At 40.4% G+C, this 16,471-nt stretch overlaps 1 annotated feature.

Moving 5' to 3' along the window:
- Positions 10,576-10,870: a silencer, noted in NCBI's record as "tiled region #15323; K562 Repressive non-DNase unmatched - State 13:Ctcf". NCBI's record gives its function as "represses a minimal TATA promoter and a strong SV40 promoter by Sharpr-MPRA in K562 cells {active_cell/tissue: K562}" and the evidence as "EXISTENCE:reporter gene assay evidence [ECO:0000049][PMID:27701403]".

The following is a 16,471-nucleotide window of genomic DNA, read 5'->3' as shown; positions in this document are numbered from 1 at the left end:
CTCTTGAAGCCTTAGTGCTAAAGTAGCCAGAAATCAAACAAATAGTTTAATTCTGTTGTTTGCCAAATTATAATCCGTTTAATTCAGTCTCATTAGCCTTTTCCCAAAGTTGGGACAGTGAAATAGGATAAGACTCCATGCATTAGAATGGGGATATGTGGAAGAATTCAGTCTCTAAACTCATAACTCCATTGAGCCCCTGTAGCCAACTGAAATAGCTCTTCCATTTTTAATTAAATGGTGGAACCTTGCTAGGAGATTCTGTTACTAATTCTCTAATCCTTCCAAGGGAAAGCCAATTCTTATTTTCTCTTCTCTCCATCAACATCATTAACTCTGAATCTATAGTTTGCTCCTAAATTTGAGAGGAGAAATCTTACTACTTTTTAATTTTTATAGGTTTAGGGGGCAAAAGTACAATTTTATTACATGGATATATTGCATAGTGGTGAAGTGTGGGCTTTTGGTGTAACCATTACCTTAGTGTACATTGTACCCGTTAGGTAATTTCTCATCCTTCACCCCTCACCCATCCTCCCACCTTTCTGAGTCTCCAATATCTATCATTCTACTCTATGCTTATATGTAGACATAATTTAGCTCCCACTTTAAGTGAGAACAACTTAGTATTTGACTTTCTGTTTCTGAGTCATTTCATTTATGCAAGAGAAGAAAACTTGTATCCCAAAGTATTCTAAGACTTTACTAATTTATGTGGACAAAAAAAAAATGTAAGATGTGTGGAGGAATGAATTCCAAGGGTGTTGGATCAAGAATGGAAGAAGCTAATTTTATTTTAGGCTGAATTTATTGACATTGGTTCATTTTCTGGTTATTTTGGGTACAATGCACAAGATTGAACAATTGGGAGTGGTTCTAATTATCTTTTGACTTGGTTGACTGAAATCTGGACCTACATGAAAAAAATGTCAGTTTCATGTAGAGATGGAATCCAAAGACTTTTAGGGATACAAAGGTTTAAATGAATTAATTATGTATGAGTCAGTCACCCATTGTCTAATCAGGGTCTCCCAAAGGGCTCAGAAGACATTTCATGAATGCCTTGAGCAAGGTGGGTGGGAACATCTTTAATAGTTCTCAAGTGGTCATTCTCTTTAAGATGAGACTGCTGACATGCATTTTCATAAAGATGCATGGAAATAAGCTCCCTAATTTCTGTACAGATGGAGGACTCCTGGGATGGCAGAAACAAAGTAGTATCACTCAGTAAGGCTGTTGTTACTCAGATAGGATATAAGACTGGTACGGTCACCTTCCACAGGCTCTGATTGATCATGAAGTCTGATGACCAAGGTCCTACTTAATGTGGATAACCAAAAAACTGGTTAAGACTGAACTTGTAAAGTCTGGCTCTTCACTTAATTTCCACACTGGAGTCGGTAAGAATTCCCACAGCTCCTAGGTAGAAGGGAAGGAAAAAAAACCTTCCAAGAAGACTGTAATAACAATCCAAGAGCATCCACTCTGTATCTTCCTTCTAGATTTCCCTGAAAGGTCCCTAATTATTTGCCAAAGTCACTTTGTGCTTACACTATTTGTGGAGACCAAGATTCTGGCTGTGGAATAACTAATTTCTGGAGAATCAGAATGCCAGTGTGGTACTTATACAAGTCAGGGGATAAAGACAGCTTTGATAAGTCCACTGCAGAGTAGGAGCACTGGGAATTTGAACTATTGTGTTTTATTATTTGTTATACCAATTTTCTGACTGAATAGATAGAACAAATATCTTCAAGAATGTGAGAAATCCCCACAATGTCTTCCTGGCTCACAGAATAAAGACTATTAAGATAGAAGATACTGGAATTCAACCTTTCTACTGAAATGGAAAAGAGTTAATAGCATCCAAAGGGATCTGGAGGGATTCGTGTCACCATCAATGACTTGAATGAAATGGGGTGGTGATTACTATCAAACTCCCATTTATTTCTGCAGTTTGGCAGATGAAGAAGATGGATGACTTGGGGGATAGTGTCATGGGTGATTGCTTTATAATGTGTGGTCTCCTTATCAGAGAAAATTAGCATACCTTCTGATACCAGCTGAGAAGCTATTGATTTAATCACTGCTTTCCTCTGTGTCCCAATGAGCAGAAAACTCCAGGTACAATTTAATGTGAAAGAATCATCTGAGGATTCTATCAAGTTTTTGGCTCTGGGCTATAATTTAGACTGCAGGGATCATGACCATCTCAGGATATTTTGCTGGTCCAAGACATTACGGACATGAGGCTGATAAGACCCAGAAAGCAGAAGAAGGTATCCATATGTCTGGTGTTTAGTGAAACATACATGGATGGTTATAAATCCAAAGAATGTACAGGGCTATTCCACTGCAGTGAAGTATCTAGGGATTCAGTGACATAGGGAATGTCATAAAGAGTTACTATTATAATCCTTTAAAACTGAATGACAAGTGGGTCCTATGCCTCTAAGGAAGAGACAAAGAAGCTTGGCGGGCTTCTTTGTATTTGGAAGAAATACAGATCCCATCTGGGTGTGCTGCTCCATTTTATTTGCTAGGTGACTCAAAAGGCTAACATGTTGATGTAGGATCTAAAGTCTTTCTAGCTGATCCAGAATGTAAGGCAAGCAACAATATTATTCAGTGCATTCGAATGTTAACTCCATGAAAGTGATAGACACTTCATCTCCATCTTATTCATCAATGACTCTCCAGAGTTGGGCATGCAAATAAATATTTGTTGAATGAATAAGTAACTGAGCAGCTTCAATGGTACCCAGGTGTCTGGGGTAGAGCTAGATAGTCTATGTAGTCTGGGACTGTGGTAAGGCTTCACAAAATATAACCTAGTGAAGGCCCTTATTTTGATAGAAATTATGCCCTCTTGAGAAAGTAACTATTGAGAAAAGCCCTTGGTTTGCCTATAAGCTTCAGTAGGTTATGTCCTGAACTGATTGTTATCTGATATATTAAGCTATGAATTTGACAGTTAACAAGAGCTCTTAACATGTACTGAACCTCATTTATTCCAAGACTACATGTTTCACATTTGAACATCTCTAGAATGTGTCTATACATATATCTATTATGTATCTATAATTGATGGCACATTATTTGGAAGCATTTTTTTTCCCCTGGGGGGAATGTGAAGTGATGCTATCTCTTACAATTGAGGAGATAGGTGCTATTATTATTATTTCAATTTAAAAATGAGGAAACAGATGTAGTAACTTGCTCAGAAGTCACATTTGCTAGTAAGTGATAGAGCATGGGTCCAAACTTAGTCAGTCTGGCTTCAAAAGCTGGCTCTTAGCCATTGCGCTATATACCTCTTAGAAAGTTTGAAGAGGAAATATATTATTCCATATTTTAAAAATTGATATAGTGGGGGAGTTGATATATGAGGGAGTTCTCTATATGCTCTACTCAATTTTGCTGTGAACCTAAAACTGCTCTAAAAATAGTTTGTTAATTTGAAGATTGATACAATGTATCTAAAAATAGTTGTATGCATTGCAAGTTATTAATGAAAGACTTCCTTTACCAAGAAGGCTTTTAATCTAGGACTCAAGATGTCAGAGAATCTTTTCCTAATCCATCCTGATGCTTGTAAACTGACTCATGTATAAGAGGTTATGATGCCCTTGGGGTTGGGATTAGGGATGGACTCTATACACGGGCTTAACATGATCTGCCACTTCACCACTGATGAGCTAGGAACCACCACTAACAAATTTGTTGGCATTAAAGATCATCTGTGAGTCCTGATGGAAGATTGATTAAAATGGACCCATCTTCATAGAGAGGGTATGGCTTGTCCTCACTGGGTTTTGCCAGAGCTATCATTTGAACCTAGGAATGCCCTACACAATGTTACAGCATCTCCAACAATATTGTTTCTTACCAAGGAACTCACTTAGTGTAAAGATGTTAGAGAATGGACTGATGCTTGAGAAATTTTACTGGCCATATCTTATTTTTTTATTTTTATTTTAATTTTTTTTTGAGACGGAGTTTCGCTCTTGTTGCCCAGGCTGGAGTGCAATGGCAGCATCTAAGCTCACCACAACCTCCACCTCCTGGGTTCAAGTGATTCTCCTGCCTCAGCTTCCCGAGTAGCTGGGATTACAGGCATGTGCCACCACACCTGGCTAATTTTGTATTTTTTAGTAGAGACGGGGTTTCTCCACGTTGGTCAGGCTCGTCTCGAACTCCTGAGCTCAGGTGATCCTCCTGCCTCGGGCTCCCAAAGTGCTGGGATTATAGGCGTGAGCCACCATGCCCGGCCTACTGGCCATATCTTACCTTTTCATTATCAGTAGTCCTTATTGAACAGTGGATCATCCTATAAAGTCTCAGCTCTACCTGTAGAAGGGAAAGACTATGATGTGAGTTTGGACTTTAGCATCCTGAAAAATAAAGGTTTGGGTTACCCCACTGGATAAAGAATACTAATTAGCTGAAGTGCTTGTTCAAGACAAAGGTAATATAGAACAGGAAGAAGAGGAAGAAAATCATAAATACCAGCTATGATGGACACTGTGATACACCCCCTAGATTACCCCTCATTGAATGAATTGTTGCCCCAGCTTATGAGAGACTGCAGAGATCTTTTAGTTTTCAACCCCTTCAGAGATTGACTCAGCTATAGAGAGCTGCCTCACTCAAGTTCATGCCCCTTCATGGGGTGACCCACATTTAGTGATGGATCAATGTGGGGATTTAAAGACCTGGTCATCTCAGCCCAACTTGAGTCAACTCTGAGTGGTCATTCTAGCTCTCAAGGTCTCCACAGCACTGACTAGGGCTGTTGGGTCAGCATTTCAGCTTGACTTTTTCCTTTGTCTACTCTGCTCCCTTCACTACCCTTCTATAGGAGTTGATCCCAAGAGCTCTCCTTAATAAATATCCTGCAAGCGAAATCCTATCTCAGAATCTACTTTCCAAAGAACCTAACCTGTAACCATAGTTGTAGCCTCATATTAGTTACCAATGAGAAATATGGCTTCAAATCATATTTCTTTTCTTAATGTAGTGTGTGTGTGTGTATGTGTATGTGTGTGCGTGTGTGTGTACTTTCCTTTTCTGCTATCTGGCTCTGTCCCATGTTTATATGTATGCACAATATTTTGTGTTGTTAGGGGCTGACTTCATTTGGTAGGATACCAGGGAGGAGAATAGACTTCATATCTGGAACTGGCTCCAATGCCAGTTGAGGCTTTGCTTTGCCTCCGATTCAGGAGATGATGACTTTTTGGTTGTCCTGAGGATGGTTTCATTGCATTAGATGGTAGCAGTGTTTTTGGAAATGCTCAGAAGAAAAGATGGATCCTAGAGGTTGTTAGCAAATGTGATGGACTATAATGGATGCTGGTCATTTTCGCTGCGCAGAATTTAAAAACATCTTTTGTGTTTTGGGGCAAGTCCTAAGATAGGTGGGGGGGTTATTCTCTCTATAGAAAGTGAAAGGAATGGGCCGTACTATTCCTAGCTCAGTAACTGAGACATCATCATGTGACCCATGGTTGGTCAACCACATTCCCTAGTGTCTACTTTGAATGTAGAAGGAATGATGCAAGTGGCATGGTCAGTTAAAAATTATTCATGGAGGCTGTGGCAAAGTCATAAGTCTGTGTCATTATAGCAAGAATCTGATGGCTGAAGATCAGCAGTGGTGTTCTAGGCAGATCATTTTTAGGAAGGACCTTGGCTGAGAGTCCCTCAGTTCCTGCCAAGGCTGGTTACCACATTTTCTTGCCAATTCTGTAAGGTATCCAATGCCTGTGTAGTTAATTCCTTTTCTGCGTAAGGTAGCCAGAGTCTGTCTCCATAATTTTTATTCCAAACCATAGTTAGTCTAAAATACCCCAGGATACTAATAAGTACTAGCAGCATAATATCTGATGGGGTTGAAGAAGAATTCAGGCACTTGAACTTCAGGGCAAATAGGTGCAAGATAGCTGGAAGCAAAGGCAAATGAGCACCCCTTGAGTACTAAAAAAAAAAAAAAATGCTGATGAAATACGTTCCTGTTGTTTTCCCTAAGAAGCCTGGGTCTTTGCAATGACAGAAATGACTCTGGAATGGCCCAGCGAATATAAACAGCAGAAACTTACCATTCTTCCATGGCCCTAACTTTCCTCCTTGTAGTATTTACTCCTTGTTTTTCACATTTACTTGTGACACTAGGACATATTTTCTTGACAGGAGCACATCCCAGATATTCCCACTGCCTGAAGATGAACACAAATCTGATTTTATTAATGAGTGATTACCAGCAAATCAAGAAACAGCTGTATCATAGACTTGGACTGATCATGGAATAAGTGGCCCATGGCCATCTCAAGGGCCTCCTTTCCAATTCCGCAGCAGCTATAAAACTGTGAGAAACAAAGAAGCTTGTTAATCAGAAATGACAGAGCTGTAGACCTTGTCCCCATCAGAGCAGTTCTCTAATTTATTTATTTAGGTGTGTTTTTAAAACTACATGCCAGATCTGTGAATATTGCAGCAATGGCAATTAAAGAGGTTGCTTGGTAAACCCCAACATACAGCTAAGGCAGCCACAAGCTGTTACACATTTCTTCCTGATGCTTATAACATTTTCATTGCAACATGTAAGTAATATATCTCCTCTTATTTAAATGGCAGATGTGAGAGAGCGTTATGTTTGTTCAGGTAAACCCATAAAAGAGGAAGGTTAACTCATAGCATCTGGAAGGGAGGGAATAGGTTAATCACTTAGGAGCCAGGAAAGGGTTGAGAAAGGAAGTCTGAGCTGTTAAGACCACCCTAGGGACCAAGAATGAACAGAACAGGGCTTCCCTTGAAGTCTGGAGTTGGGGCACTGCTAGCAAAACACCAACATTCCCTTCCAACTAGGAAGGCAGCAGGTATCTCATGGTTAGACGGGAAATCACTCATTAGAGGAACATAATTATAATAATGGCTTGGACCTCATAAACACCTGAACTCCAATACTAATGCACCAGGAATTGAGAAAACATATAGAGTCTTAAGAGATTTCTAAACAGAATCACCATATATTATTTGTTATAATTTATTAAGCACCTGCTGTATGCTAGTTGCTGTGCTCAGCACTGCACATACCTTTGTTCATTTCATTTTCTCAGTCATGCTTTATTTTGTGCATTTTACAGATGAGGTTCCAATTAAGTCTCTCCTCAAAGCATCTTTTTCTGTGTGACAGGGTAAGTCAGAATCCAGCTTTGTCTGATTCTGAAAGCCTACGCTGTTTTTACTATTCTCTAGAGATGGAGACCTTCATAAAAGGTCTGCCCATGAGAGAGATGTGTTTGTTTGCCCAGGGCTTGTCCCTGTGTCCCTTCGAGGTTAACAACAACCAGCATGTCCCTGGGTACCACTGTCAGATTCAGAACCTCAGGCTATCCTGAAATTTGATCCAGCCCAGTGTGGGATCTTTCATATTCTGTTCTTTGGCCTCATGGTTTACATAAAGCACTACATAAATCCAGTTTACCCTGGAACTAGTTCTAAGAGAAAGCATATTACTTTACATGCATGGGGAAGAGAAGATAAGAGAGTTAGGTTTGAAACAAACTTTGTTTTGTCATAAGGGCCTTTGTCACGTGGTACTTTAAAAGAACCCAAACAACCAAACCACCGACATGAAGAGTGGTTTTAACGACATACAGTTTGAATCACCCCTGTTCCATAGGGCAACTGAAATAGGAGCTGAAAATGACCTGCTTGTCCATCTTACCCTCCCGGAGTCAGGACAGATGGTTTCCTGTAGACCAGGCTTGCCTTATTCCTACCGGGTTTGAAGAACTAAGCGCCAGGACACCCCTCATTTTCCTCCTAGATGTGTCAGTCACCTAACAGTTCTTACTGTCTGGAAATTTTCCTGACCCGAAGCCAAGGTGTTCCTCTGTTCCATTTCATCTCATTACTCCTTTTACACTTTTGGGCCTCTGAGTCATTCTTTTGTATCTAGAAATTTCCACTCTTTCCAAAGATGGCAGGCTTAAGGTCTTCTTCCATTGGAGTTTCCCCAGTGCCTGGGCTTTTCTGAGTGGGTATTGATATTTCGTCTTCTTCCAAGATGGGGAACCTCTTGAATGATCCCAGAGTCAGGTGCCCAAGTGGACTTGGGAGGTGGCAGGGAGCTTAACTGAGTTTTCCCCATGACTTCTCACAATAAATATTTTTAAAAAATTTTCACTGCTAGATATGAGATGTACCTATTTTAGGGGTAAATGGATAATTTGATACATTCATATAATCAAATAAGAGTAACTGGAATATCCATCATCTTAAATATTTATCTTTTCTTTATGCTAGAAATGTACAAATTATTCTTTCTAGGTATTTTGAAATGTACAATTAATGTTAACTATTGTCATTCTACTGATCTATCTAACTCTAGGTCTTTTAATGACTGAGAAGAGTGAATGTATATCTCAGGGGGATTTGCAGTGTGGCCCAAAGTGATTTGAGATATCCTTGACATTACCCATTTTGTCTTAAATATTCATATCTTCAACGAATCTGTATTTGTTTTAATATGAAACTATTTTAAACACTAATGAATTAAGTTATTTAACCCTTTGCCCTCCCTCAACCAGCAACCCCAGTCCTGCGAAATCCTCAAATAAAATTGTCATCGCAGAAATGTACTTTATGCTAAGCCTATGACCTCAAATACCTTCAACATTCTAATAATAGTATAAATTCCAGTTCGAGAAATATGAATCTAAGAAATATAAAGTGCCTATGCAAGTAAGGTGAGAGTGAAGAATCTAGAATAAAGTAAGGGGTGAGAGAGTACAGGTAATAGAAAATGGGCACACTGTTTTTGGGGAGATTCAGGACGAGTTATTTAACATCTATGATACTCAGCTTCTGCAGTGAGAAAAATGAGCAAAACAGATCTCAATTTGAGGTTTTTAAAGAGAAAATTTGTGGACATACCTAGCACAGTGTTTAGTATAGTTGGTGTCAAATAAACATTGTCTTTTTATGTGGGGGTGAGGGGAAGGCTCTGGAGGAGGTAGAAAAGAAAGTTAGTCAAGCTTCCTTCCATGTCATTTATCTTCCTGCCATTACCTTTTCCAGCCCCACTCATTTGCTGGAACAGAAAACTTTCAGCTCAAAGACAGCCGTTACTTACTGTCTGAGCCAGTCCTGGCCAATTGGGCTATATTTCAAGAGCCCTCCCCTTCCCACTGGAAAGAATTTGGAATTACTATTGTGCTGGGGGTGGGCTATGGGTATGTGCCCACTCGCTGAGCTTCGCTTTTCCTCTCTAACCTCCATCTTCTGACTGAGATTTGGCCTTGATCTCCTGAGTGCAGTTTAATTACTTTGCTGAGACCAAAAGCCTTCTGTCAATACCACATCTATCCAGCTTGACCCAGCATCTGCATAACGTTAATTAACCGCTTCTCACAAGCACTGAATCCAAGTGATGGTCTGTTGTTTAGTGTTTATCTGCTTTATCAGCCCACTGTCTGAATGCCCTTCATGAGCTTGGGGTCTCTAGCATCTGCATAACATTAACCTCTTCTCATGAGTACCAAGCCAAAATTGATGGGTCTTTGCTCTTTACGCATTAAAAAAAAATCAGTGCAGTGCCTGAACCCTCTTCTGATGTTTGAAAATCCTTCTTTGCAAGAGGAAGCCTGAAAGGCCAGATGTTGATAGTTAGAATGTGGCCACCTGTGTGTGCTTGATGAAGAGATGCTCATGCTCAAGTCTATAAATTTGAAACCAGTGATGCAGAGTGGCAAGGAATAGGCCAGAATTCATCCCCTCTGATAAGTTCCATAAGCTAGAAATTGACTAATTCTCCTTCACCTGGCAACCAGAAGTGCCTGAAATTCTAGGTTTTTGCCTTCAACGACATGACATAAAAAATAGATCATGGGATTCAGGATTAGACATAGAGTTGACCCTTGATCTTGCACTTACTAGCTGTGTAATTTGGGGTAGGAAGTTTAAACTCCCTGAGTTTCAGCATCATCATCTGTAAGGTAGAAATAAGAGTGGTTTCATAGCATTGTATGTATCAAATGAGACAGTGTAGGTAATTTTCTTTTGCAAAGCCAAAAATAATGTGCCAGATTAACATGACGATGGCTATCATAATTATTTGTTATACCTTTCATCTTTGTTGCTATTATTTATGAAAACACTTTTTCCTTTGAGAATAACACTTTAGTTGTGTCAATCATTTGCATTTAAAGTGAAAGAAGAAATGAAAGTAAAGCGGAAGAGATGACGGAAGAAGGGTGCTGGGAAGTGGAAATGGTAGACTGTGCTAAGAAAGAGAAAAACAGGCCACCTAGGAGGCTTAACATGTACTTTTTCCTCCTCAAAACACTAGCTAGGCTTGGTTCTTCCAAATCTTCCATGTGCCTACTAGGTTTGCTTTCTTTTTCTTAACAAAGAAATGTGAAAAATGTAAATTTTCATTCAACAAAATATGTATTTTTTGAGGTGGTGGCACCCAGTGTTTCCTAGGGTCAGAAGAGATACTCAATCCAGACTGCTTCTATAGCAGGATCTTGGTTGAGGTTCTGGATGTCAAACCTCTATTTGCTATTTCTACACATTTTTGAGCTTGGTACTTGGTCCTTCTTGTCACTTTCCTGATCTGGTCTATGCCCTCCCAAAAGTCCCTTTAAGCTTTAGGTAACGAGTCCTTTTGAATGTTTGCATCCAAGGACCCTGACTCAACAAATCCTGCTTTAATCCAGGTCGACCAACCTCAATCATGATGCTGCCACCTGCTGGATTTGTTGTTTAATGTCCGTATCTTAGGCAAGATCATGACCCCCATGAAGCCGAGACTATATTGTTCTTTGGGATAAGCACTATGATGTGTCCCCCAGATCTTCTGTCAATGAAGCACTTGTTTCCCCAGATGCAAGGAGTGCTGTTGGTAGGTGGCCTTCAGCGGCCAGCACCTTCAGTGTGATTGCCTCATCAGCAGAGAGGCACCTTGCCCAACACCACATCCCAGGGTGGTCCCATCAATGGCTGGTACATGTGACCATCTCAGTTCAACAGGGGAGAACTCTAAGGAACATCCTAGCTCCAGAGCTCCCTGTGGGGTTTGCTGAAGCTGTCCTTGGACTTGCATTGCAGTTTGACCCTTTCTTCTGCTTGATCCTGCTTTTATCCTCTCCTTTTATCGGGCTATTGATCTTAATAAATCCCTTTAAAAAAACCTCCCGCATGCTGACCTCCAACTTAGAGTTGGCTTCCTGGAATACCTATTGATAAGTCTTTTTGATAACTAAATCGTTAGGACCTAGCCTAGTTTCACATAAAGACTGAGTGCAAGTTTCTATTTGTTGAATAACTAGGTGGTTCCTTTGTATCAATGGAGAGGCCATCCTTCTCTGACCTAAGACTCATCTCTGCTTCTTCTCTGAATCTCATCTCCTCCTGCCTCCTCTTGCTTAGCTATGAACATCTTCACCTTCTTCCTCTTTGTTACATTTACCCAGTCCTTAATAGAGGAAAATCTCAAGGCTTTGTCTTGGGCTTTCTTCGCCAAGTCAGATTCCATGGACTGTGAGCTCCAAAGGGGCAGTTGACAAGTCTGTTTGTTAGATTCCCCACACCTATCACAGTGCTTGCCACTTGGTAGGCATTCAATAAATGTCTATTTTATGGAATAAAAGTCCAGATCTTCTACATTTCATTGTTAGGGAAAATAAAGCAAACCTAGTAGCAGCAAGGAAGAGACAGGAGGACCAATCCTAGCAAGTGTTTTGAGGAGGAGAAAGTTTATGTTAAGTCTCCTAGGTAAACAATTTTTCTTTCTTAGCATGTTCTGCCATTTCCACTTCTCAGTGCGGTTCTTTAGGCATCTCTTTCCCCTTACTTTTATTATTCATTCACGTTAAAATGCAAATAATTGACATGGCTAAAGTGCTATATATTTTTTTTTTATTGACACAGAATCTCACTTGTCACCCAGGCCGGAGTGCAGTGGTACCATCTTGGCTCACTGCAGCCTCGACCTCCTGGGCTCAAGTAATCCTCCTGCCTCAGCCGCCCAAGTAGCTGGGACTACAGGTGTGTGCCACTATGCCTGACTAATTTTTTTGTAGAGACAGGGTTTCACCATGTTGCCCAGGCTGGTTTTGGCCTTCTGAAATCAAGTGATCTGCCCACCTCAGCTTCCCAAAGTGCTAGAATTACAGACTTGAGCCATCGTGCCTGGCCTAAAGTACTATTCTTGAAGGAAAAAGTGTTTTCATTGATACTGGCAAGACAAATGAAGGCAAGACAAATGATGATAACCAGCATCTTGTTAATCATGCACATTTTGATTGGCTTTGCAAAGGAGAACTATCTACACTGTCTCACGTAATACAATGCTATAAAAGCATTCTTATTATTTCTCCTTTATGGATGATGACACTGAAACTCAGGCAGTTTACCCTTCCTACCCCTTGTTACACAGCTTGTGAATAGAAGATCCAGGGTCAAATCTGTGTCTGTTTCATTCTGTATCCTATGCTTTTTTATGTCATGTTGCTGAAGGCAAAACCTAGAATTTCAGGCACCCATGGGTTGCCAGATAAAAGACAATTAGTCAAGTTCTAACTTATGTCACTTCTCAGTAAGACCTGTCCTGCTTACCAAATCTGAAACCTAGCTTCTTTCTGTGATGGCTATTGAAAGGGTAAAGCCCCTCAATTCACTGTCCAGCTCTTCAGCCTTCCCTAAAAGAGCTCCTGGTTGAAAGAGAAGCATATTTTGCATTTGGAGAGTTCATCCAATTTTTAGTCTTTAGGGACAACATTTGTCATGGGAATCAAAGTGTCAACTAAGACAAAAAAAGAAAAACAGCACACAGTTGGGGCACCTCTACTAATTTAAATGTAAAAATTTCACCAAATTTTTTACAGGAGCAGAAGTATCAGTGAAGTTATTTCTTTAAAATGGACAGAGAAAAGAGTTTGAGAGGAGAACCGAGTTGTACCCTTATAGTGATCTGGTCCCAGGCTCAATATCCATTTATTTCTCTTAAAACATGGTGTTATTCACAAAGCCCTTCATCCTGGTATACCAGCTGTGACTATGCTATACTTTTCATTTGGAAACAGACCTTCCTTTCCAGTTTCCAAGCCTGTCTGTCTGACCACGTTCTTGGCACACTATCTGATCACAGCTCAGAGATTTTAACCTGCCTGAAAAATACTGTGGATGGATTTTCCAGGAATGCTAACCTGGACTGGAAAACAATGTTTGATTTTAAGTAGTTTCTTGTTTCTTTTTGTCCAGTCTCTTGTACAAAATATATCTCAATAAGCTGCCGTGTCTCTCTGTGTGTGTGTGTGTGTATGTGTGTGTGTGTATGTGTGTGTTTATGATGTTTGGAGACTGAAAAAGCAATTCCAACTTATTGATGGTAGGGACAGGAAGGTGCTTGAGTCTTGGGCTGAAAGATTTTTCTCTTGGTTTGATTGTTCACAGATGTGATGGGCAAATTCATTATTGATAATGTGGAAGAACTGGCAAAGTATTAGACAAGAAAACGCAATAGTTAGTATGGACCCTTTATGAGGTCTGAGTAATAGTTCTTAAACATCTGTGTGCTCTCTGCTTCTGTGTTCACCATCTGAAAATCATTCTTACCCACAATTTTAACCATTTCTTTGGAGCTTCCTGGGTTGTTACTGCTTCTGCTGCTCCTACATCTTTACAGCTAGTATCTCCTGAGTGCTCACTACCTGTGTAAGGCATCACTTAAGAGATTTGTGGATGTCCCTTAGCCAAAGCCTTACAACCCCAAGAGATGGGTATTCATTATTATCTCCACTTCAGATGAGAATGCTAAAGTATGTACAGGATAAGAAACTTGTCTAATGTCCCAGAACTTGTAAGAAGCAAAGGCTGTATTTAAAGCCAGGTGAGTCTGACTCCAGAGACTGTACTTATAACCATTAAACCAAACTATCTCTACCTAAAAAGCTGCTGAAAGTGCTTGCTTGCCCAGAAGACCTTTCCAAACTCTCTCCAGGTTCCAGACCTCCCAGCCTCGACCTCTATCCCTACTGGGAGATCTTGGTAAGTGTGTATGTGTTTTTCAGACTGAATGTGGGGTAAAACTTAGTGAACAGAGGAGTCAGACGATGAGTTTAACAAACACAGACTTTCCCTCCCTTAGAATGAAGTTGCTGGCTAAAGGTGGACCGGTTCATTAGCAATGGAGACAAGGATCTGCTCTGTGGAAGAGAGTTTTACGGCATACTAAGAACTGTGTCTGTAGCCTTTCCTCCCCCTGAGAAAAACAAATGCCAGGCAAGAGGATATGAGTGAATAATCCATAAAATCTGGTATAGAGCACATCCCAGCTATCCTAGTGCCTTCTGTGAGTGTCATTGCCAAGGAAAGTCAGATTGGTATTTTCCAAAATTTGTTTGTTTTAAAAATTAATGAGATTTTATTTTATTCTTATTTTATTTTTTGAGATGGAGTCACCCAGGCTGGAGTACAGTGGCATGATCTCGGCTCACTGCAACCTCCACCTCCTGTGTTCAAGCGATTCTCCTGCCTCAGCCTCCTGAGTAGCTGGGATCACAGGCGCATGCCACCATGCCTGGCTAATTTTATATTTTTAGTAGAGATGAGGTTTGACCAGGCTGGTCTTGAATGCCTGACCTCAGGGGATCTGCCTGCCTCAGCCTCTCAAAGTGCTGGGATTACAGGCATAAGCCACCACACCTGGCTCCAAATTAATGCGTTTTTAATTGAAAGATAAAAAATTGCATGTATTTACTGTGTGCCATATGATGTTTCAAAATATGTATACATTGTAAAATGGCTAAATTGAGCCAATTAACATGTGCATTACCTCACATACTTTTGTTTTGTGGTGAGAACCCTTAAAATCTACTCCCTTAGCAATTTTCAAGAGTACAATACATCGTTACTAACTATAGTAGGCATGTTGTGCAATAGGTCTCTTGAACTTACTCCTGCTACCTGACATTTTGTATCCTTTGACCAACACTTCCTCAGTCCACCCCTCACCCTCAGGCCCTGGTAACCGCTGTTCATATCTGTCTTTTACTATCCAGATTTTGGTTCTTCTTTGCTTCTTCTAAGTAGGGCACTTTCACTAAGGTGATTTAGAAAACACCAGATTTGTCTCAGTAATACAACATAGAGAAATGCAACTTTGACATTTAAAACATTCTTGGCCAGGCATGGTGGCTCACACCTGTAATCCCAGCACTTTGGGAGGCCGAGGCAGGAGGATTACCTGAGGTCAGGAGTTCGAGGCCAGCCTGGCCAACATGGCAAAACCCCGTCTCTACTAAAAATACAAAAAGTAGCCAGGTGTGGTCGTGGGCATCTGTAATCCCAGGTACTCAGGAGGCTGAGGCAGGAGAATCACTTGAACCCAGGAGATGGAGGTTGCAGTGAACAAAGATCACGCCACTGCACTCCAGCCTGAGCAACAGAGCGAGACTCCATCTCAAAAACAAACAACGAAAAAAACCAAAAAACATTCTGGACCATATAGAATGAGGGAAGGAGTATCTTTTAAAGAATTTTTTTTCCAGTGGCACATAGCAGAAGAATAAACTGGTGTAATTAATAAGAAAATGCAGTGCTTTACATAACTGTAAAGTCCAGTGTTGGTGTGTACTTCAGGCAAGGTTTGATCTAGTGGCTCAGTGGTGGAGCCAATATGTGCATGTCTTTTTATTGCTCTGCTTTACCTTCCAAAGGTGTTAATACTACAAAGTTTCCTCACAGTCTAAAGTGGCTGCTGGCAGCAACTGAGGCCAAATGTCTTCTTGTTCACATGCAGAAGGGAAAGAGGGAATCTTCTCTCCACTGTCGAATTGAAGTACTTTGCTTAACTATGATCAGCTTGTGACATACGTGTTTCTATGAATCAACCACTGCTGTCATACGATTTGGGAGAGATCAACTTCATTGACTCTAGTAGTGGGTCTAGATCAACTTAAATGAGTCAGTGTAATCCTACCTTTTCCCCCCAGTAATTGGTTCAGGACTGGACGTGTAATTCAGGTCTAAGCCAAGTGGGAGATGGCATTTTTTGTTGACAGTAGTTGTTTCATAATGAATGGGAGAAAGTCAAATAGATGCTGGGCATGCAACTATACTGGCCACTACAGGAGATAAGACCAAAATACAGTCATCCAGTCAGCACTACTTAATATTTTGGTCATTGAGAGAAATGCTTACATGTAAGAAAATTAGTTACACGACTTTAAGCCAATATAATTTTATTTATGTGCTGATTCTGCTTCTACTTGCCAAAATAGATTAGAATTTCTTAGTTCATGTTCCATGCAACATTGAGGCAGGTGATATAGGCTGGTAGAGTTACTATTTCTGGTCAAAGGATTTCATAAATAGCTCCAGATTTAGGAACACATCTTGTTTTTCTCTTTAAAATTTCCTAGCTTAGCCAACATAGTGAGACCTGATCTGTACAAGAAAC

This window comes from Homo sapiens, chromosome 8 (assembly GCF_000001405.40).
Source record: "Homo sapiens chromosome 8, GRCh38.p14 Primary Assembly".
In the NCBI taxonomy this organism is placed as follows: Eukaryota; Metazoa; Chordata; class Mammalia; order Primates; family Hominidae; genus Homo; species Homo sapiens.
This window is presented reverse-complemented; position numbering and strand designations above follow the sequence as displayed.